This window comes from Homo sapiens, chromosome 18 (genome assembly GCF_000001405.40).
Source record: "Homo sapiens chromosome 18, GRCh38.p14 Primary Assembly".
Taxonomy (NCBI): Eukaryota; Metazoa; Chordata; class Mammalia; order Primates; family Hominidae; genus Homo; species Homo sapiens.
The window spans coordinates 3,210,498-3,235,123 of NC_000018.10; the positions used below are offsets into that span (position 1 = coordinate 3,210,498).

At 41.7% G+C, this 24,626-nt stretch overlaps 1 protein-coding gene across 7 annotated transcripts in view, besides 1 other annotated feature; it reads right to left on the minus strand.

Annotated features, from left to right (window-relative positions):
- Positions 1-24,626, minus strand: part of MYOM1 (myomesin 1) — a 180,570-nt gene that overhangs the window by 143,691 nt on the left and 12,253 nt on the right. For 4 of the 7 annotated variants that reach the window (XR_935071.3, XM_047437911.1, XM_017026062.2 and 1 more), the window contains exons 1-3: positions 11,307-11,505; positions 9,306-9,381; positions 4,437-4,754 (exon numbers count right to left, since the gene is read on the minus strand). Coding sequence is in view for 6 of the 7 variants with exons in the window: in XM_047437911.1 (XP_047293867.1) it covers positions 4,437-4,754; positions 9,306-9,381; positions 11,307-11,325 (413 nt within the window). In the remaining variant the exon portion in view is untranslated. Of the gene's footprint in view, positions 1-4,436; positions 4,755-9,305; positions 9,472-11,306; positions 11,506-24,626 lie in introns of those variants that run through there. The other 3 variants (NM_019856.2, NM_003803.4, XM_047437910.1) reach the window with 2 other exon arrangements.
- Positions 7,474-7,768: a silencer, noted in NCBI's record as "tiled region #2253; K562 Repressive DNase unmatched - State 5:Enh". NCBI's record gives its function as "represses a minimal TATA promoter and a strong SV40 promoter by Sharpr-MPRA in K562 cells {active_cell/tissue: K562}" and the evidence as "EXISTENCE:reporter gene assay evidence [ECO:0000049][PMID:27701403]".

The following is a 24,626-nucleotide window of genomic DNA, read 5'->3' on the forward strand; positions in this document are numbered from 1 at the left end:
TTTGCAAATATCTATGTCTGATTCTAAATAGTGGGTTAAAGTGTCTGTAAGGTCCCAGGCTTGGCATTCATGGACACTCCTTGGGTTTTCTTTGTTAGAATTTGTGTCCTTCCATCTGCTGTTCCCTGCTGTAAATCTTGGTTATTTTGGTATTCAATAGCTTCTCTAGAAGAAGGCTAAATCAAAGGAAGCACAATGCAAAAACTACATATTGATGCTTCAAGGAAAACCCGGTGGTGTATGATCAAGGGGAGTTGCTGACTGTAACTGGCATTGGGTGCCCGTGGAAAGGGTGGGGACCTGGGTATGACGAGGGTTCAAATAACTACTCTGCTACTTTCTAGTGTAATGAAGAAAAGTCATTTAATCTCCTTGGTTTCCAATTTTCTCATTTATAAAATGAAGATAAAAATTTCTACTGCTCAGGGTTGTTGTAAAGACTCAGTGGTATAGAGAATGCAATGCTGAATTACGTCATATAGGCTGAATTTTAATCTGTTTAGAATAAGACAACTAAATGTCTACTGTCACCATGGAAGGTTGAGGAACAACTCTAAATCATCCCACAACCTAAGAAACCTGCTGTGCTGTTCTCTGGTTTTTGTAAGCTATTCATTCTTGTAAGTTATTCACTCTACTTAGAAGAATAAGAAAACATTCTTTTTAAATTATTTTCATCCTAATGTATGATCCAGCTTACTTGCAAGAATGGAAGGTCCCTGCTTTCCATAATACCACCTTTTCTGTAAACATCTGCCTTATTTCATCCCAAGTCCTTATAACATTGGCATTAGGAAAGAGGTCCTCAGGTCATACACTAGACTCTCTGTTATTCATTTTTAGACTTTCTAGAGCAATGGTTCTGACCTTTGTTGAGTCACGGAGCTCCTTGAAAATCCGATGAAAACTACAGTCCCTCTCTCCAGAAAAATTCTCATCTGTGCATAATTTTGCATATAATTTCAGATCATCCAAGACTCTACTGAAACCATTCATGGACAGAGGTTAAGAACCCTTGCCTAATGGTTGCAACATGGTCATAAGTAATACTGCTCCTTTAATCCTGATGATATTTTGTTATTATTAGCATGAAACAGTAATCTGTCATTTTAAGAGTTTGTTTTCCTAAATTATTTTCTTTATTTTTCCCACTGTGACCAAGAACAAAGGCATTTAGAGTAAGCCATCCAGAATTTACTTTATAGCTCGTGGCTCAGAACACAATTGGTAACTGATCTGTACTGCAAGCGCACTGACAGTAAACTAGTCATTGTTCCTAAGACTCACTAAGGTCAGCCAAGCCCTGAGCACATGTAACTCTCCATAGTTTCCACTTTAACCCTGGACATCTAACTACAAAGCAGAGCTAAAAATAGACCAAGCCGAGCACTTACACTCCACAGAGATGCATTTCCAACCCCAGGGGTTTTAATCAACAACACTGTTCACAATCCAAAGAGAATGCTTTCATTTAGCAGGAAAAAGTTGCTTCATTTTGAGCAAGCTAAAATACAACCTAAAGGAATTATGAAGACTTTGAAGTGTTCAAAAAATATTATCTGCACCTGTGTTCTAGGTCTAAAAAAAGAAAGACTAAAATACCTTCAGGATTGAGTTGGCTTTCTTTGCCTTTCACATTGAATTATTCAAAGGAAAACATATTGGCATTTTCCCTCCTCTTGTTTCTAGGTCAGCATGCTTCTACCAAAAAGTTTAAGTTGTTCAAACATAACAAGCCATAATAAATACCTACCTACAAAAATATATACATAGTAGGAAGGAAAAAGTAATGAGTTTGAACACAGAAAAATAATTACAGTTCCATTCCCTAGAGAAAGTTTATTATCTAAGGCTCTTTATGGCCAAAATGGATAAGTCTTCCGAGGATTATATAGAGCAAATGTTTTCACAATAAAATTTGCTCAAAGGTTTAATTATTAATGATATATCAGACTATGAATAAATATAAAGATTGCATATGTGGCTAAAAGAAGGATTTGTATAAAATTAAGATAATTTTAATATAAAATTTTGCAATAGAGTTGAGAAAATAAAGATCCTTTAAAAATACAAATTCATAAAACTCTAGATTCTACAGCACTGGGGAAATGAAATAAGTACACAAGGAGTTACATTGACAACTGCCTTATAATGAAAATGCCCATCTTCTATAAACCTAGCACAAACAGTCCAGGAAAATGGATATTTAAAATGTAATCTTTCTCTATTACATGTGCTTTCCTAAATGAGGTTCTTAAGCATATCTGCAGAACGTTTTTCAGGGAAACAAATTGAGGCTGTCATATACATATGGTATTAATTCCTCCCAGCTTTTATTTGGAAGCAGTTCGTCTGAGGCAAGTGCTAAAAGAAATGAATTCACCTCAGTGACAGTATTTCCCTATCTGCAGCCAATGTGTGATCCTTATGAATATCCCACGGCAGAATATGACCTATGAAATTGAGACTGCGAAGTGATCCTGTTCCATTTTAATGGAATTTCAGAGTGTTGCCATCATACACTCCAGGTAAACCCCAGCAGAGTCTGGCTCTGTTACTCAACCCAGCAGAAGCTCCCAGGAGGCCACCATCACTGATAAAATGATAGCTGTAGATCAGGTGCTGCTCAAACCCAACAGGGATTTCGGAATTTCTGCCTTTGGAAGCATGCCTCACTTCTAGTTAAACCGACCACTCTATTATTTTCTCAATAACTTTTTAGATTCCCAGAGAAAACAGCTTTTCTAGTTGCCCTACCAGATATTTTGTGGGCTTAAATTTTGTAAGACTGAAAAGTATGTTATGTTTATAGCAAAAAATGCAACCTATGCCAGGTACTTTGGAGAAGAGGAAAAGAGGCAGCAGGTGGTTATCGACCACATAGCCCAGAAATGTCTATGTTTTGAAGATCAGCAGTTTTTTTCTGTGGACTCTAGATAGATTTTAAATAAAAGTCACGTGTATCTTGCAAGTGTTTTTTAATCTCCATGAAATATTTCATTCTGAATATGAAGAAAATAAAACTTGCCTTGGACTGAGAAAGTAAATATCTGCCCAACATTCATCAGGCTGAAACAGCAGACACAGATAAGCCAACTGCAAAGTGAACAGGAAATGACATTTCTCCCAGGGACGTTGCTGTTGTAAAGTGTCATGGTAACGTCCTTCTTTGAGTGACTATAGATTCACTGAGAAACTTTCTTCTCTAATATCAAAGACAATCAGTGAGCTTGCTGTTTAAAATTATATCAGTAAGAATAAAACATCTCACTCTTGCCTGCAGGATCTTAGTTGCTTAATTGAAGCAGAGAAGCAACCTCAATTCCCACTTCTGGTGAGAAGTCCCAGATAAGGGGCTTGGGGATGCAACAGTCCACATTTATCTTAACTTTATTGTTTCCAAAGAAATAGCACCCTGGGTTCACTTTGCAGACCAGACCTGCGTCTAAGCTCCACTCTTCCTAGAAACCTAAAATAACCTTTTTTCCTCTAGTGTTTAGTCTCCTTCATTGCATTGGGTCAATAAACCTAATTTTGTCGGAATACAGGTTGGTTCCTATTATTCTTAGACTGACTGAGATAGGGCCATGTTTTTATCAAATGGTCGAGCTAAAGAAATTATCTGCTGCATAAATAGTAGTTCCGAATTTTAAGTATTTGCTATTAGATATTGAAAAAATATTTAATAGAATATATCTTCGCAGTAGTTCAGTCTCCTGTGCCCTGTGAATTTTAAATTGTATATATCAGCTTCTCATCTAGGCAGAAACATTCTGAGCGCAAGGAAACCCGCTGTGAATACTGAAATGATCTTTTCTCGCCCTGCTGCTGCTAAAGTAACCTGTGGCAAAATTTGCCTGCTCTTAGAAATAGCAAATTGGCAACACAAGCAAGACTCGCCCGTGAGAACACCAGGCTCTTAGTGAAGCTAAAAGAGACAATAAAGGGAAATAGGTAGGCACGGGTCCCGGGTCTCCCAAACAAGGTCTGTCTGCACACTTGGTTGAAATGCAGGGCTGCCGTATTTAAGAAGTAACTGGGAGAGGCTGGGCACGGTGGCTCACGCCTGTAATCCTAGCACTTTGAGAGGCCCAGGCGGGTGGAACACCTGAGGTCAGGGGCTCAAAACCAGCCTAGCCAACATGGTGAAACCCTGTCTCCACTAAAAACACGACATGAGCCGGGCGTGGTGGTGCACGCCTGTAATCCCAGCTACTCGGGAGGCGGAGGCAGGAGAATCGATTGAACCCAGGAGGCAGCAGAGGTTGCAGGGAGCCGAGATCACGCCATTGCACTCCAGCCTGGGCAACAAGAGCGAAACTCTGTCTCAAAAAACCAAAACCGAACCGAAACAAAGCGAGAAGTAACTGGGAGGGTTACTCAGAGCACACGCCTCTTCCTGAGGTTGGAAGGTTGGAGGAGGGCGTCCGACATACCCATGGGAGGAGCCATAATCGTAGGCTGAGGCTGCCTTCCGACTGACTTCAGAGCTCAGGGCGTGCTGCGAGGCCTGCTGCTGGGAGGAGGAGGCGGACGCCCGACGGAAGGCCTCGGACTCCCGGCGGTGCGCGGCGGAGGAGCGGCTGCTGTAGGCCGTGGAGCCCTGGGTGTAGACGGCGGAGCGTTTCTTCTCCCGCTGGTAGTGACTCACGGTGCTGCGCACGTCCTTGTTGCGGTAGCTGAGATCATAGTGCTGGTGGCACCTCTGATAAAAAGGCAAAGACATCCTGTGCCCCTTGAAGGAACCGGGCCACCTGAAGGAAAACAACACTTTTTGAGTGACTTATTAAGGAACAAATTCCATAGACCAAGTCATCTAAATCAATGTGTAAAAATCAATACTCTTGGCTGGGTGCGGTGGTTCATGCTTGAAATCCCAACGAGGATCTCTCGAGGCCGGGAGCTCAAAATCAACCTGGCCAACACAGTGAGACCCTATCTCTACAAAAAGAAAAAATTAGCCGGGTGTGGTGTGTGTGTCTGTAGTCCCAGCTACTCCGGAGGCTGAGGCAGGAGGATTGCTTGAGCCCAAGACTTCGAGGCTGCAGGGAGCTATGATTGACCATTGCACTCAGCTTGGGTGACAGAGCAAGACACTGTCTAAAAACAAAATAAAATAAAAATTAATATTCTTATCTTTTCCGAAGAGTAAACCAAAAAGGGTATGAAGTTTAACATAACTGGATATTCAAAAAACTCTCCACTTCATAGCCCAGATATGCCCCTCCTGTCATTGTACCTTTTTTTAAAAAAAATTGTATCTAGGAGGTTTTCCTAGAAAAACAAAGTTTTTCTACCCTGGCTATTGTGCTCTTTCCTCAGACTCTTCATAATACATATTTCTAATTTTCTGCCATTTCATTCTTCATTTGGGACTTCATTTGGGAGAATGTGGAAGGATAGAGAGTCATGTGGTGTTCATTCAACAAATAATTAGCAGCACCTACTGTGTGCCTGACGCCATCCAGCCCATGAAATCCAGTAGTGAGGCCGGGCACAGTGGGTCACGCCTGTAATCCCAGCACTTTGGGAGGCCGAGGCAGGCGGATCACTTGAGGTCAGGAGTTCAAGACCAGCCCGGCCAACATGGCGAAACCCCATCTCTACTAAAAATACAAAAATTAGCCTGGCATGGTGGTGGGCACCTGTAGTCCCAGCTACTCCGGTGGCTGAGGCAGGAGAATCACTTGAACTCAGAGGCGGAGTTTGCAGTGAGCCGAGGTTGCGCCACTGCACTCCATACTGGGCAACAGAGAAAGACTCTGTCTCACAATGAAACAAAACAAAAAAGAAATACAGTGGTAAACAAAACAGACAAAATGCCTGCTCTAATTACCTTGTACAGAACTGTACAGTCTACTGCAGGAGAAAGACAATAGAGAAAACAAGTAAGTCAAGTATGAGATAGGTTAATGTGCCAAGAACCAGAGAAAAACAAAGCAGGTAAGAGGGATGGATGCAATTTTCAACAGCCTCAGCAGGGATGGCTTCTCTAGACAGTAACATCTGAGCATGAGACTTTCTGGGGAAGAGTATTCCAGAAGGAAGACCAGAGCAAAGGCACTGAGGAATGAACATGACTATTGTGCTCCAGGAACCACTGATTGGCAGGGGTTCTGGGATGGGAGAGGTATAGGAGATGATGTCAAAGAGGTGAGCTATGTGCCTGGTGGAAGGGCCAGTAGTGTAGGGTCCTGTAGGTAGCAGTAAGGACTTCAGCTAATACTGTGAAAGGGCTGAGAGGCCATTGGAAGACTCTGAGCTGAGACTCATTCTCGCCGATGTCTGAAGATGGACTGTGGAGGGATGAGAGTGAAAGCCAGAAGACCTATGAAAGGGCTGAGTTGTATCCTCTCAAAATTCCTGTGTTGAAGCCCTAACCTCCAGTACCTCAACATGTGACCATATTTGGAGATAGGGTCCTTAAAGAGGAAGTTGAGTTAAAATTAGGCCATTAGGATGGGCCGTAATTCTATATGATGGTGTCTCTATAGGAAAAGAAAACCAAGATCCAAATATGTATATAACAGAGGGAAGGCCACGTGGAGACACAGGGAGAAGACAGCCATCCATGAGCCGAGAAGAGACCTGAGAAGAAACCACCCAGCTGACACCTTGATCTTGGACTTCCAGCCTCCAGAGTTGTAAGGTAATAAGTTTCTGTTGTTTAAGCCACCCAGTCCATGGCGCTTAGCTATGATAGCCCGGGCAAAAGAATACAAAGTCCACTGCAATGGTCCAGGCTAGAGGTGACAGGGGTAGCAGCGAAAGTGTGAGAGGTGGTCAAGCTCTGCACAGCTTTTGAAGTTAGAACCAATGGCATTTGCTGAAAGTTCTGAATTAGGATGTGAAAGAAAGAGATGACTCCAAGGTTTTTGCCTGAGCAATTGAAAGACAAGTTGCTATTAACTGAGATGGGGAGGAATGTGGGAAAGTATCAGTTTGGGGTGGAAGAACAGGAGATTGGTTTCAATGCTCTACATCTGAGATGCCTGTTAGACCTCCCAGAGGAGACATTTTAAGTGGGAAGCTGGATACATGACTCTGGAGTGCAGGAGAGAGGTCCAGGATGCAGATATACATTTGGGAGTCAACAGCATATAGGTGGTATCGAAAGCCAAGAAAATAGGTGAGAACCATTGTACACGGAAAAGAAAGTCCTAAAAGAAAACAGATGAGGACCATTATACACAGAAAAGGAAATTACAGGCATGGTGGCTCATGCTTGTAATTCCAGCACTTTGAGAGGCCAAGGCAGGAGGATTTCCTGAGCCCAGGAGTTTGAGACCAGCCTGGGCAACGTGGTGAGACCTTGTCTCTATTATAAAAATTTAAGATAAAATAAAATAAGTAAAATAAAGTCCTAGAACTGAACCCTGGAGTATGCTAATCTTATATATAAGCTCTCTCAAATCTCACAAACATTTCAAGCAAAGGTATAGTCTCAAACCAGAAAACAAAACAAAACAAACAAAAAAACCTGTTTGCTCTATAAGGAACATGCAGGCTTCTAGTCTCCCTACTTAAAGAGGTAAGAGAGTCGATTCCCAGGGTGACAGCTGGCATTGTGAACTTGAGCTAGCAGTTCTACTAAAAGTCAAAGGTATGTTTGTTTAGCATAGGGTGGGGAGATGTCACATGGCCTTAGCATTCTTGAATAGTTTATCCACTGAAGCAGGCCTATCAGCCACGTTGACAACCCTGGATGAAGTAATAGTTTTATAAAAGCTCCACCCCCAAGTGTTTTAATGCTGTAGAATTAGTTTTAAAGTGATCTGTTTTCTCCAAATGTCATTTTTAAAAAAATTCAAAATGAAGAATGAATCCTTCTAAACTCAGCATATTCTTTGTCAAGTTTAAAACTACTTTTTATTTAAACTATTTTAAAAGTCAGCATGTATTCCCCAGAGAAGAAAACTGAGCAAACTTCACTCCAGAAATATTTATCTTAGGGTTCATGGAAGATATCAGTCTACAGGGCATTTCCTAAGGGAAAAAAATAGCTACTAGCAAGCAACTTTGCTTCAACCCTTAAATAGATGGCTATTTTCTGTTACAAAATATGGAGGATAATTACCATGTATAATTAATAACTACTAGATGAATTTTGATAAAACAAAGGGGTTAGAAAATGTTAATACAGAATTACGTTAGGCAGTTATAAAGATATTAGAGAAGTTTCTGTTATGATACTACATTGTAACATGGCACATGTTATTTGAATGATTTTTCAAATAAATAATAAAGAAACTTGTTATGTTATAAACTAAATTCATTCCCCAGATGACTTGAAATGCTGTTATTTTCACAAAATAAAATCTTTAAATATCTTGCCCCAATACTATTTTTTACTCTCTTTATTTCTATTTCTCCCAAATACATTTATTTTTAATAATACTTACTATTCCTCTCACATAGATAGTAAGTTACAAGTAAACAGGGTTTGACTTGAAGCCCACATTGCTGATTGTCACAGCCCTGACCTCTGGAACAAAGGTACAACCACCTCCTCTTCATCAAGTAAGCCCTTGAAGTTAACTAAAGCCAGGATTAGCTCCAACACATGACGGCTGGAGTACGTTGGGAGGAAAGATGGTTTTAGTGTCTTTTGTTTCTTTAAGACCTAAATTTTCTTTCTGAAAATAATTTGAGAATTTAGGAAGAAATACAAATTCCATAGCTGTAATTTATGATACTTTTGTGCAGGCATTAGAGGGCAGAAGCTGATGAAAACGATTCCCAGAAAAATCACTATGTGGGGCTCTATGTTGCCTCTGAAATATTACTTAACCATTTGAGGCCATATCATTGTGCGCGCTCACATTTATCCACATTGCATCGTCACAGCAAGATCCCTGAATTATAAACTAGTGACTTCAGAGTTAATTTTCCTTCTTTCGGTCTAATTTGTAACCAGGGAGCATTGTATGGCACATGCAGGATTGAAAATGCAGGGCCTCCTGTCTCTCATCCATTTCAGATTTCAACCAAACCGTACTTGGAAATAGCATTAAACACACGCTTACAGTTCAATCCGAGGCAGATATGACCTCCTTACAGTTCCAGGAACAGCAGCTTAATTTCAGAAGAATACAGTGATGTGAGAGAAGAGCTGTGCCAGCCCGACTGGCACCCGGCTGTTCTGGTTTCCCTCCCTGGAGCTTCACTTTCCTATTTCTCTGTTATTCTGACATCTCTTTGAGAAAACTGCTGAGTTCAGAAGACAGAAAGAAAGCACTTACACTGCACTGCTGCTAAGCTCATAAGCTATCAAGTGCATTCTTCTGCCTCAGTGTCACACTTACCAGTTTCCAAAGGAGTAATGGTGGTGGAAATGTTCCGATGAGGCCGAGGAGCTGGATGAGAGAATGAAGACTCCACCTAGGTTGAATCCAAGACAATGTTAAGAGGCAGGGCTAAAGACAGGACCCTGGGGGCCAGTTCAAAAATAATGCATGTGGTCAGGCAGTCGAATGTCAGGCCACACAACCAGCCTTTTATGGCCAAGAAGGCAGATAAATATAGCAGCAGATGGGGAGGGTAGTTCCAAACCAGGAGGAGGAGAGGGGCATGGGCAGGTAGCAGCCTTAGTAATATAATTGCATAATGCCGGTCAATGGGTCTGGCCCGATTAAACCAAATATAGGGTTTTTATTTGGCAACAAGAGTTATTTTCAATGTCACTTTATCAGTAGATAATTTAAAAGTGTAATGGAAAGAGTGGTTTGTGTTAACAGCTAAAAATAGGTGTAGTAATATGATTCTCAAAATGGACTTCGTGGAATTTTAATGCCAAGATATGATTCTGAGTGTGCTGTTAACAACACACGTACGGTACATTTAAAAGATACAATGTGAAAAAAGAACTTGAAGCTAACTAAAGGCAAAACAAGGAAGAAATGGGTTACACGTGGTGGCGATTTTTGCCTGACATCACGGTCACTATTTCTCTCACTTCAGGAAAATTTACAAGGTTAAGTCTTAGCTTCAAGCCTGAATATGTGATTTCCTGTTCATTAACTAAAGCCTTTTGAGACGCAACTCAGTGTTTTATCTTTCCTAACTCAGAGTAGGGTCAGTCCATCTAATAAGAGATTCTCTTTCTTTGTTCTTTAAATGGTGTGACCAATTAAGAGGAGGTGTAACCCGGTTGTGAGAGCCTGTGTTGTGGATTCAGACCAGATCTAGATCCCACTATATTGATAGCACTTAGTAGCCATGTAATCTCCAGCAATTTATTTCTCCTTCCTAAGCTTCAGGTTTTTTGTCTATAAAATGGGGATAATCATATCCAAATTATAGGATTGCTGTGGTGATTAAATGTGATACTGCAGACAGAGCACTTGACCTAGTGACAGTCACATAATATAGACTCAGTAAATATCAGCTGTTATTACTGATACCAATAATATAAAAGCTCATTGTTAGATTACATGTATGCAGCAGGTTGGTATTTTGATCTACTGGCCTTATGTTCTGACAGTGATATTACATCAACTGAATAAAGGTCACCTGTGTCTATCAAAATTGTTTTTCTTTCTGAGACAGGGTCTCACTCTGTTGCCCAGGCTGGAGTGCAGTGGTGCAGTCTTGGCTCACTGCAACCTCTGCCTCCCAGGCTCAAGCAATCCTCCCACCTCAGCCTCCCGAGTAGCTACAGGCGCATGCCATCACACTCGGCTAATTTTTTTTTTTAACTCTTGGTAGAAATGGAGTTTCACCATGTTGCCCAGGCTGGTCTCAAACTCCTGGACTCGAGTAATCCACCTGCCTCAGTCTCACAAAGTGCTGGAATTACAGGCGTGAGCCACTGCACCCAGTCTCTATCAAGATATTGAACAGACTCAATATTATAGTATACTTCATCATGACTTTCTTGATGATAACTACAGTTAACACTGTTGAGGACCTATCCAGTGCCAGACACTGGGATAGGCAGTTTATATACATGATCCCACTGACTTATCATACCTTGCAAGGTACAGCTTCATTACCCCGTTGAGGAAAGCAAAGCTTCCAGAAGGGAAGGCATTTGCCAAAGATCACACAGCGGGTAGATGACAGAAACGCAACTTCATTCAGAGACATTTGATTCCAAAGCCCGTGTACTTGTAGTCATGTATTGCTGGCTCCTCCAGTGGCACTTTGATAGTAAGAAACTAGACATTTTGAAATGGCAATACGGGTCTTCACTTGTAATAGACGGTTAGCTTCTGAGCTACTCAAAGTATGTAAAAGAATCTGTTCCACCTAGTTCTGATCCAGGTACCTGTGAAATTCAACCTGGAATTTCTTCATATACATACCTCTGCTATTAGTAAGCATGTGGACATTTTAGCTATCTGGAAGCCATAGGCGAGTTTTCCAAGTGTTATGTTCCCCAAGCATCCATTTGTTCTCTAAATATCCAATACAGAATGCAGTGATTCTTCTCAAGTCTTATCCACCAGCCATTAGGATGATTCCTGGTGAGCTGTTTCTCTAGAGAACATTGGTCAATTGCCCCAAATCTTCTCAAAGCAGAAAAGAGGAAAAATAAACTTATATGCTTTTTAAAAAGTGTTTTACATTAGATGATTTTCTGGGAAATTTGAAATTAACAGCTGGCTAACCACTCCATTAAGTTTTCAGGATAATCACATATCTGTAAGGGTATCATGAGTAAGTGTAATTGACCAGAGTCCACATATATAAAGGAATCATAACTAAGTTACAATAATTGATTCATATGAGCCCAAGTTTTTCTTCTTTAGTTTTATTATCCAGTACATCACCATATGTAATTTATTATGTAGCTAGTTGTAATTCAGATAAATTTGCTGTTAGAAAAACCTGAATCTAGATGATGCCACAGCAGAAAGATCACTTAGGAGATTCTGCTGGGTCTAGCTCATGCTTCTTTTGTCTAAACTTACTGTATATTTGTTTGGAATAAACTCTTGCTTTCACAGGGATCTTGAGTATCAATGAATCAATGATAATATTTTAGTTTTTCTATAGTGTGTGTGCACTTCTCTCATTTTTGTATTTTTAACAAGGATGAAAGTTCAGTAAATATTTAAATGTATTGATACTTGTAGCCAGTACATTTTGACCTAATAAATTATTGTCTGTTAATAAGAAACATAAATGAAACTCTTCTTCTGTAACATTTCTTCCTTCTAATGGACAGTATTGGCACATGGTGCTCTCTATCAACATAAATGTGTACGTGTGCACATACACACATACACACACAAACAGGCATACACACACAGTTAAATGGTTGAGAGGCAGCATAGTATCATATATAGGAGGCTATGCTCTGTGTGGAACAGTCCTGGGTTCCATCCTCTGTCACCTTCTGGTTGTGACTTTAAGGATATTAATCTCTCTAAATCTCAATTTTTTTTTTCTTTTTGAGACAGGGTCTCTCGCTCTGTTGCTCAGGCTGGAATGCAGTGGTGCAATCTTGGCTCACTGCAACCTCGACCTCCTCAGCCTCAAGCAATTCTCCCACCTCAGCCTCCCGAGTAGGTGGGACTACAGGCACATGCCACAACACCTGGCTAATGTTTGTACTTTTGTAGAGATGGGGTTTCACCATGTTGCCAGGATGGTCTCGAACTCCTGAGTTCAAGCAATCTGCCTGCCTTGGCCTCCCAAAGTGCTGGGATTACAGGTGTGAGCCACCATGTCTGGCTGTAAATCTCAATTTCTTAATTCATAAAATGTTTTCATGATAATCATGCATAAGATAATCAAATAAGATATTGTAAAACAGTATTACTTCCTGGCATATAGCAAATAGTCATTAAATATTAGCTACCATTATGAGGACTTATATCTCCTATTTTTGTTCATTTTTTCTTCAATGCGGATGTTTTCCACGGAAGGAAAAGCTTAAATAAATTGTTCAGTGAGCTCTTTTGAAAGCCATAAATTTGCTGTATCCTTCCTACTTCAGTGTTGACTAATTTATAGGCAACACTAAAATAAGAAAGGTATCATATTTGGCATCTAGTCCTGTGGTTTACTGAGTAACTTTGAAAAATCATTTCACCTCTCTGAAGCTCCATTTTCTCATCTGTAAACTAAAGGGCTTAGAGCTAGATGATCACTAAGGTGCTTTCCAGCTCTAATAACCTGTGCTATCAATCCACAAAGTAACTATTCTATTCTTGCCTTGCTCATAAGCAGATTAGCAACATTCTGTGTGGAGCAATTTGTGGGAAGAATAAAACAAATCATCCCTGATCCAAAAACTCTGCTTCTACCTGCTGGCTCACATCTGAAATACTCCTCCCTGAGAGTGTCATTTTATGACTTTAATCCCTACTATGCTGAAAATAACCCAGAAAGGTATTTCAATATGTTATTGTTTCTTTTAAGTCTTTGTGTATAATGAGTAGCGGAGAGGGAGGGAAGCAGAGCCAGCGGTGAGGGTGCGAGTGGCTGGAGAGTGGGGCCTAGGACTCTTATCAGAAGCCAAATTTCATCTAGTTATTAAATGACCTAGATCTAAACTAGGTGAACTAAATCTAACATTAGATTTTTTTTTTTTTTTTTTGAGACACAGGCTCACTGTGTCACCCAGGCTGGAGTGCAATGGCATGATCTCAGCTCACTGCAACCTCCACCTCCCAGGTTCAAGAGATTCTCCTGCTTCAGCCTCCCGAGTAGCTGGGACTACAGGCGCCCGCCTTGTCACCCGGCTAATTTTTGTATTTTTAGTAGGTTTCGCCATGTTGGCCAGGCTGGCCTCGAACTTCTGACCTCAAGTGATCTGCCTGCCTCAGCCTCCCAAAGTTCTGGGATTACAGGCATGAGCTACTGCACCCGACATAAAATTAGATCTAGTTTGAATGTTGAGTGTATCTGGGCAATGGCAAAATTAAGGCCAATGCTGTTGACATCTTGCATCAGAATCCACAGACTGGGAGGGGCCCCTGTGAGCTCCTTTCCCAGTTTTGGAAAGGGGAAGAAGTGCTGGGCTGAAAGCCCAGCCTTGGAAGAGGGCATGCCTGCCATGGTGCAGAACTGGCAGGTAAGTGGGATAGGGCCCGAGCCTTAGTCAGATCCTTGCCTATTACCCTGTCCTCTAGACCAGACTCCAGGCCATTAGGAAGCACAAACATAATTTGTTGTGAAATGCTCCACTCATGGTTATGGAAATGGAATTATCATTATTATTATTATTATTTTTGAAATGGAGTCTCACTCTGTCGCCCAGGCTGGAATGCAGTGGCATAATCTCGGCTCACTGCAACCTCCGCCTCTTGGGTTCAAGCAATTCTCTGCCTCAGCCTCCTAAATAGCTGGGATTGCAGGCGCCCACCACCATGCCCGGCTAATTTTTTGTGTGTTTTTAGTAGAGACAGGGTTTCACCATCTTGGCCAGGTTGGTATTGAACTGCTGACCTCGTGATCCACCCAACTCGGCCTCCCAAAGTGCTGGGATTACAGGCGTGAGCCACCGTGCCCGGCCTATTATTAGTATTATTATTTTATTTTATTTTATTTTATTTTGAGACGGAGTCTCGCTCTTTCACCCAGGCTGGAGCGCAGTGGCGCCATCTCAGCTCACTGCAAGCTCCACCTCCCGGGTTCACACCGTTCTCCTGCCTCAGCCTCCTGAGTAGCTGGGACTACAGGCACCTGCCACCACGCCCAACTAATTTTTTGTATTTTTTTTTAGTAGAGAGTTTCACCGTGTTAGCCAGGATGGTCTCGATCTCCTGACCTCGTGATCTGCCCGCCTTGGCCTCCCAAAGTGCCGGGATTACAGGCGTGAGCCACCGTGCCAGGCCTGGGATTACTTTTTATTCTTCATTAGTCGCCCATACTTCTCTCTCTTCTCAATTCCTTCCTGCATCAAAGAAGCTCATTTTGCCCATCTGAACCTTCTTCCCCTGTTCACAGGAGAAGGGAGGGAAGCCCTTTATTTGTTAAGGTGCACCTGCCCCTTGAATTGTTGGATAATTGAATAGAAGCTGATAAACTACTTCCCTATAAGCCAAAGGAGGGGGGTAGCAAGTGGCCTCTGTTGAAGCTCCCAATACAGAGGGGGAGGAGTGATCTTGGCCTCTTCCAGAGCCCCAGACTCCAGAACAAAGGCTTGGCACCTCTCTTCCTAGACTACTCCTTTTGGAGGTGAAGGAGGGCAGACTCAGTATGAATGGGCAGCGTCTTAAATGCCGAACATGTCCAAAGTCCAGCTGAGCCTTAGCCACATTTAATATGTCCCAAGGCCATGGAAAGTTGACCATGGTTATGCTGATCCACACCCTCCTCCCAGCACGCCCCTTCTTCCCCCTCTCTGGTTAATGAAGAATTGTCTGCATGCTGTATTATGGCTGAGGACAAAGAACAGGTCAGGCAGCCAAGGCTGATTAATCTTTTTGCTTTCCTGTGGTCTGTCAGGAATTGGGTTGACTTAGACTGAAGTATTGCCCTTTCATCATTCACCAGTGATTGTCAGTAAATGATGTGTTTGAATTTCCAGAAATATGACACAATTTCAAAATCTTGCACTTCGAGAAGAGAGATGGCCCCATCAGTATTTTCACATAATGGCATTCGCAACTAGAACTAGAACCAAACTACTGGAGAATCAAAATTCCATTTCATGAATCTGTTCATTTGTAACCCTAATGCATACATTATGTGGCATTTGCTGAAGACCTAAGGAACATTGTGTTCCATTCATTCGTCAGCATGAGTGGTGCACGGGTTGGAGAGTAGAAGTGCTGCAGTAAGCCAGGCACTGGGATTGAGGACAGAATGTGAGCTGACGCTATGACAAAGGGAGAATGCATTCAGACAGAGCTCACTATGTCCTCTTCTGCTTCAAACCTTCCAATGGCTCCTCACTGCCTATTCTTCCCCAGGTGGCCTCCTCAGCATGGCACGAGGGCATCTTCACCCTATGAGCCTCCATAATTCTCCAGCTCCGCCCCTCTCCATTCCCCTGCCTGCCTCCTGAGTTTCAACCACGGGTAATTCCTTGCAAGCCCTCAAACTCCAGGACTCCAGCACCCCGGTTCCCTCACACCTGGTGCTCCTCTCAGCCCTGCCAACACGCGCACACTTCCTCACTTCCTTCACCCCGCTCCTTCAACACCCCGTGCCATCTCCTTCCGGGAGACTTCCCTACTTCCACTAGGATGGGAAGTTTTTCGTGTGGTATTTACGTGTTTACTTTTCTGTCTCTGCACAATGAGTACTCACTGGTAGGAGCGGGATCTCTATGGCTAGGTGCTCCCAGTACCCAGCAAAGCTCCTGACCCACAACAGGCATTTAATAAAGAATTACTGAATGAGGAAAACTGGGAAATGTGGCAAAGGACAACTCCTCAGGACATAGGGACTCCTTAGAGATGGGAAAAAACAAGGGCTAGGAGTCAGTGTGGCCAGGGATCAGCTGTTCAGCTGCGGGGAGGACAACTGCTGTGAGCCCCTCTTAACCTGCGTGTGAGGCTCAGGAGCTGGTGGGTAGATTCTGGGAGAGGGACAAGCCCCTAAGCCAGAAAGCTGCCTGCACGCATAGTCCAGGCCAGGGAACTGGAGGTGAGTATTAGAAAGCAAGACCCCAAAGCCCATTTTCTAACATTTTTTGTCTCTACCTGTTTTTCTGTCTATTCATAAATAGATATCTGGTATGATAATGACTTCCAAATGATGAGATGCTTTCTCTTTCTTTTGTTTTTTTTTAACTTTCTTGTTTGTATTTTTTTTACTTGATTTTAAGATATAATTAGCATCAAGAACTGTGAAGGTATATACATACAATGGAATATTATTCAGCCTTAAAAAGGAGTGAAATCCTGACACACACTACAACATGGATGAACCCTGAAGACATTATGCAAAGTGAAATAAGCCAGTCACACAAGGACAAATAGTGTATGATTCCACTTATATGAGGTACCTAGAGTAGTCGAGTTTATAGAGAAAGCAGAACAGTGGTTGCCAGGGGCTGGGGAAAGGGGGTAATGAGGAGTATAGCTTAATGGGTAGAGTTTCAACATGGGATGATTAAAAAGCTCTAGAGCAATGTGAGCCGGGCGCGGTGGCTCACACCTGTAATCCCAACACTTTGGGAGACCGAGGTGGGCGAGTCACAAGGTCAGGAGTTTGAGACCAGCCTGGCCAACATGGTGAAACCCTGCTTTTACTAAAAATACAAAAAAATTAGCTGGGTATGGTGGCAGGCACCTGTAATCCCAGCTACTTGGGAGGCTGAGGCAGGAGAATCGCTTGAACCCAGCAGGCGGAGGTTGCAGTGAGCCATCGAGCCACTGCACTCTAGGCCAGGGGGCCGTACGAGACTCCATCTCAAAAAAAAATTAATTAATTTTTAAAAAGCTGTAGAGATGTGTAATGGCGATAGTTATACAACAGTGTAAATGTACTTACTGCCACTGAACTGTATCCCTAAAATGGCTAAAATGGTAAATTTAATGTTGTGTATATTTTACCACAATTTTTTAAAAAAAGGAACGCAGGAGTCAGAGATTTTACCCTACTTGCAAACTAAAAAGTGATCCTGCTACAGTTTCATGAGTGTTGACAGAAGACACAAGAAGACAAAGAGCTTTACTCCTGACAGCAAGAGCAGTGGCCAAGTGTCAGCATATTCTTCACTGGTTTGCCAGCCCCCAATCCCCATGTTCCCAAAGGACAACGTGATGAAGACCAGGTGACACCTGCAGTCACAGTGGGCTGCATTACAGAAGAAGAATCTTGACTTTAGAGCACCTGAATATTTCATCATGAGCATTCAGCATACCTGCCCTTTGCTTCAGAGGGAGATATTCTTGTTACACTGGATAGTAAGCGTGTCTGCCTTTTGCTGTGGCTGGAGACACTTACTCTGTCTTCAAAGGCTGTTCACTATATGAACAGTCCTGCAGAAACAGGCTGGAACAACGGAGAGCCAGATCTTCGCTTGCAACATGTGCCGAAACACAAGAAGCCCGCGGAGAACTGTCTCCCGACAATGACTGTGTGTTACTTTTACAAAAATCATATGGTTTTTTTTTTCCTTTAAAAGTAAGAACCAGAATAAAGATCAGCAGATCTGAGTTTTCAGTTTCAATTCATTTCGAATTTCCTTTTAACAGTTTATAGCAATAAAATTGACACACCATAAATTAATCCATTTTAAGAGTAAAGTTCAGGGAGTTTTAGTCAATTTTTACATTGTGCAACCATCACCAAAATCCAGTTTTAAAACACTTCCATCACCCAGAAAAGTTTCCTCAGGCTTGTCTGCAGTTAATCCTGGGTCCCGCGCGTGACCGAGGCCACCACTGACCTCTGTCTCTACAGTTCAGCTTTTTCTAGAAATTTCACACAAATGGAATCCTACCATATGTAGTCATTTGTGTCTGGTTTCTTTCACTTGGCAAGATGTTTTTGAGTTTCATCTGGATACTGGATGCACCAGTATTGCACTTGGTTCTCACCAATGTCCTACCCTGTCCGCAGTTGTCCTTTCAATAACAATGAATGAATGTGTTGTATTGCTCTGCTATAATTTGTTACCTGGTCTCTAAGTGTTGAGCACCTGGAAATTTCCAGTCATTCACCAGGACTAGAAGCTGGAAGCAGGCATTTGGAGCATCTTTAGTTTCAACCCAGCTCTTTTATCACCTCTCTGTGACTTCTTTTGAGAGGCCTTTTTTAGCCTCTCGGGCTCTTGTTTATTCATAGTTCCCCCAATAGAGTGGGATTGGAAGAGTGGTTCTCCTTCCTGGCTATACATTAGTATCACCTGAGGAGCTTTGAAACTGTACTCAGGCCTAGGCCATATTCTAGGACAATTAACTCCATATCTCTGGCATGAGACATGAACATCAGTATTTTTTAAAAGCTCCTAAATGATTCTAACATGCAACCCAAGAGAAAAAAAAAAAAAACCTCTTAGGTCTCTTTCAGTTCGAAAAGGATAAAAGCCTGAATTAAAAAGAAAGCTATAAATATTTTGCACAAATAGAAGTATTCCTTTTTAACTACCTCCTTGGGAAGTATTTGCCCAGAAGGTACTATGAATTGGAGGGTATGTTTTATGAGATTGCTATTTGGAATAATTAGGCTAATGTATAATGTCATCAACCAAATATGAATGTACTCTTTCCTCATTGCCCCATCAATATTGGAATGGTTAATTTTAATTTATTTTTGCAAGTTTAACAGTAGTGAGATGTGGCCGGGCGCGGTGGCTCACGCCTGTAATCCCAGCACTTTGGGAGGTCAAGGCATGCGGATCACCTGAGGTCGAGAGTTCAAGACCAGCCTGACCAACATGGAGAAAACTTGTCTCTATTAAAAATACAAAATTAGCCAGGCGTGGTGGTGCATGCCTGTAATCCCAGCTACTCAGGAGGATGAAGCAGGAGAATGGAGAATCAGTTGAACCCAGGAGGCGGAGGTTGCAGTGAGCCGAGATTGCGCCATTGCACTCCATCCTAGGCAACAAGAGTGAAACTCCATCTCAAAAAAAAAAAAAAAAAAAAAAAGAAGTGAGATATGTCTCATAGCTATCCTCAAATGCGTTTAAAAAATTATTTGTGAGGCTGAGCATGTCCTTAAATGTTATCCCACTATTTGGCTTTCCTCTTCTGTGAGGTATCTTTTTCCTGAGATCATTATTAATCTGTTAATGTGATAATAAAATAGCTACCATTATTTGAGACCTATTGTGTGCTAGATACTATACCAGTGCTTTACAGATATTATTTTATATATTTGTTACAAAATCTCTTCAAGGCAGTTATTATTCCCAAGCTAAAATGAAAATGAGGCAGGAGAATAGGGTCTGGAGGCAGGGAACCTAAGGCCGAATTCATGCTGACTTCCCAGAACTAAATCACAAGGAAAACCCCAACTTTCCATGCCCAGGTAACGAAAGGACCAGAGGCTAATACATTTGCAACCTCCCGTTTTCTGAGTGACAGATGAAAAATTGAAAGTGCCTCTGATTTGTCCCCTCTGGGAGACAATCAGGCTGGTTGCCGGCCAAGTTTTCATTTGCATAGTAGTATAACTTTGTAACTTCACTTCAGCCTCTGATTGGTCACTTTCTGCAACCAATCAGACCTTTGCATAGGGTGTAACTTTGTAACCTTGCTTCAGCCTCTGATTGGCCCTCTCCTGCAATCAATCAGACTGATCTCAGGCCACTACTTCCTTTACCTAGGGTGTACACCAAGTAACCAATGGGGAACTTCTAGAGGGTATTTAAACCCCGGAAAATTCCGTAACTGGGCTCTTGAGCCACTTACTTGGGCCGCTCCCACCATATGGAGTATACTTTCATTTTCAATAAATCTCTGCTTTTGTTGCATCATTCTGTCCTTGCTTTGTTTGTGCATTTTGTCCAATTCTTTGTTCATGATGCCAAGAACTTGGACACCTTCCAACAGTAACAAAAAAACCAAGGCTCAGAGAGGTTAGGCAAGTACCCCAAAGTGACACAGCTACTAAATAATAGAGCTGGGATTTGAACCCAGTTCCAGCTGGCTCTCAAGCACCATTATCTTTGCTAGACAGGAAAGCACTCAATGCCTGCACTACTCATACCCCTTCCTGAGGAAAGCTGCCCTGCTGATGTTTAGAACTAGGTGACCTTGCTTTTTGATCCCAGGTGATGGGTCATTTCTGATCTAAAGGTAACAGTGAATGGCCTGGGCCAAAAAGGCGAGCCAAGCCAATCACACTCCTCCCGTAAGAATTTGAATTTGAAAAGACTGAGTGTCAATACACTTAATAGAAGGAACGAAAGTCAAAGAGGCTGAATCAAGGTATGCCACGGGTGTATTTGGAATCAGATGAGCCACAGCATGCTGAAATTATGAGGGACCGCAAACTAAAGTTAGCAAAGATGGGTGGCAGGGAGCAAACAAAACAAATGGGCTTAAAGAAGCAGAGGTGCAACTGGAGAACAAACATTTGGCCCATGAAACCCTTGAGAGAAAACCTGAAGAGCCAAGCCTTCAAACTACCTCTGTTTTCAGCAGTAATCCAGTCATGTGTATCCCTAAAATATGCATCCTTTTTTTTTTTTTTTTTTTTTTTAGACGGAATTTCACTCTTGCTGCCCAGGCTGGTGTGCAATGGCGCGATCTTGGCTCGCTACAACCTCTGCCTCCCGGGTTCAAGCAATTCTCCTGCCTCAGCCTCCCCAGTAGCTGGAATTAACTACAGGTGCGTGCCACCACGCCCAGCTAATTTTTGTATTTTTAGTAGAGACGGGGTTTCACCATGTTGGCCAGGATGGTCTCGATTTCTTGACCTCGTGATCTGCCAGCCTCGGCCTCCCAAAGTGCTGGGATTACAGGCATGAGCCACTGCGCCCAGCCGCATCCTTTTTTTTTTTTTTTTTTTTTAGTTAATTGGACTGTCCCTGTTCCTTGCAATCAAACAAGCCAAAATAAAATATTCTTTCTATTAAATGTTTGCTAGTGTAGATATTAAGCTTTTACTTGTCATTTACCACAAAAAGTTTCCATTTCAGTTATTTCCTTGCTTTTTTTAATTATATTTTGAATTTTTAAAAGTAGAACCCGGCCAGGAGCAGCGACTCACACCTGTAATCCCAGCACTTTGGGAGGCTGAGGCTGGCGGATCACCTAAGGTCAGGAGTTCAAGACCAGCCTGGCCAACATGGTAAAACCCCGTCTCAACTAAAAATACAAAAATTAGCGGGGTGTTGTGGCACACTCCTGTAATCCCAGCTACTCGAGAGGCTGAGGCACAAGAATTGCTTGAATCCTGGAGGCGGAGCTTGCAGTGAGCCGAGATGGTGCCCTTGTACTCCAGCCTGGGCAACAGAGTAAGACTCCATCATGGAAAAAAAAAAAAGTAGAACCATCCGTCATATAATCAATAACCACTTTACTAGTCAAAAACTTAAATTCATGCAAATGATAGTAACAGAAAGCAGATCAGTGGTTGTGTGGGTCTGGGAGAGGGGACAGGTGGGAAGACTTGGGAGCAATGGGTCACAGTGGAGCCCGAGAGCACTCTGGGGTGATGGGTATGTTACTATCTTGATTGCGATGATGGTTTCACAAGTGTATACATGTATTAAAATTTGTCACTTGGTACAGTTTAAATATGTGTAGTTTATTGTGTTCTAATAATACATTAGTTAAAGCCATTTTTAAAAATGTCTACTCTTCTTCCCAACAAGGATACTTATACAATTCTATTCAACTTATTATGCTTTATGTTCCATGCTTACCTATAATTCACCTGCAGTTGTGATATATGCTATAAGAAATTAATTATATGTTTATATTTTTCAGTTTTAATAATCTATTTTCCAACTGTATTTCACATAAATATGTTTCACCATTGGAAAATCATGTGTTGAGCACTGCAGTTTTAAATTTATTTCTATTAATATTTTTCATTCCTTGGCCAATTTTCCTATTTTTAAACGTAGTACAATCTGATTTGGAGGTTTGAAATTTTGTTCCTTTGTAGTGTTTTAAAGTCATGCTAAGGCATGCACCCTAATGAGCATTTTATAATGGAAAGAGCATATAATAGAAATAATTACTGTAAGAACTAGTATAGATATATTAAAGATTTTATGCATTGTTCTCCCCTGCCTTGGACAATAGTTTTTATTGTGCCTTTATATGTAAACAAGATCTGTCTATGGCTAATCTGGCCACTTCTACTACCTATGTACCACAAAAATTTATTTTTGGACCTAGTGGACCGTACAGAAGTTTGGTAACAACATTCATCTGGTTGAGTTTCAACACAGGATTACTTTCATCATTTACCCACTTGCTAAAACTCCCTTACTTTTTCTACTACTTTTGTTCCAAAGTTCTTAAAGTTTATAGATTTAACTGAGGTTTTACTAAGCACACATGACATGGCTAGCACTCTGCAAGGTATTGAGAGTACAAACAGAGTAAGTTACTCTTGGGAAGCATGTCCCCTTACCCGCTTACTATCAGGGCTTGCTCTTTTTCCTCAAGCAAATAATGAACTGTGTAGCACATGGCAGGACACTGAATAATAGACCCTGGTAAAGCCCCTCCAAACTTAACCTATGGCTCTCTGGCCCTTCAGGGATTACTGGGTAGCACTGCCAGCCCACAGCTTTAATGCTTTACTGAATCAACACTCTGTGAGGTAATGCAAAAAGAGGTGTTATGTGTTCAATGCTGACAAGTCATATGAATGGAAACTGTCCACGGATTCATCTACCATTCCTTCTCCAGAGGAAAGAAGAACTCAATCAAAGTCCATAATACATCTACAGGTGGCTGGTAGAGGCACTGATTTCAGTGGAATTAGGCCTTGCTGGAAATTCTGCAAGAGACCATACAGACTCTTTTTCCGGGAAGAATAACAACAAAAAAGTCAACATTTCAAGTAAATATTCCCACTCCAAATTATTAACACAGTCATTCTTATCAATAGTTAGTATGTTTCACAGATCAATATAGCACAGAGGCTGAAAGGTCAGGCTTTGAAGTTATACAGACATGCGTCACATTCCTACCTTTTCCTCTTACCCAGAATATGACCCTGGGCAGGTCACTAACCTTGCTAAGCTTCAGCTCACTCATCTGTAAAATGGAGGTGACAGTCATTACCTTGCAGCTAATGTTAATGAGAGATAATGTGAATAAAACACTTTGCAGAGAGCTTGGCTCATAGGACGTGCTCAATAAAGAAGAAGAAGAAGAATATAATGTTTATTATTATTGTTAAAAGTATACATTGAAAAACTTCTACTTAGCTAATGTAAAAGTAATATATGTTTACAAGCCAGTTTGGGAAGCAAGTCAAACATACAGGAAACAGTAGAGGAAAATCCCAAATTATGTAACATTGTTCACCGTACTAGGATGTTAAGCATGACATTCCCATTATTTTAGAATTGTGGGAGCTGTCCCAAAAGCTGGAAACGTTCATTGTCAAAACATCTATACAGGACATGTTACAAGATTGTGGAATTAATTTTGTGACCCCCTAGTTAATTATCCACCTCAGGAATTATAGGAGGTAAGAAGATCAATCTTTAGACCCAAGAGATTCTAGGGACACCAGCATCCAGAGTCGTTTGGGGAGAGTTGCCAGCGTGCCACACCCAGCCCACACACAGTGAGGAGTGGGCGGCGATTCTCACAGCATTTTGAAGCTATTGCTGTGCCACCTTCAGCTTGCACGGTTGCTACAGGAAAGCAGGCTGCCAGCCTAATTATTGTTCCATTGAAGACACTCCCTTTTTTTCTGGCAGCTTTTACCATTTCCCTTTTACCCTGCATGTTCTGCAGCTTCATTGTGATAGAACTTACTACAGATTTTATATATTTTATTTTTCCTGCTTGATAGTCAGAGTACACTCTCCATTTGAATGAAAAATTTGGTCTCTCTTTCAGTTTCAGAAAACTCTGTCATTATCTCTTTAAATTTTTTTTTTTTTTAGAGATGGGGGTTCACGCTGGATTGCCCAGGCTGGTCTCGAACTCCTGGCCTCAAGCAGTTCTCCCTCCTCAGCCTCCCAAAGTACTGGGATTACAGGTGTAAGCCACTGCGCCTGGCCCGACATACTTTTGATATTGTTTTTTCCATCATTCTCACTTTATCTTGTTCTGGCTTTCCTATACACA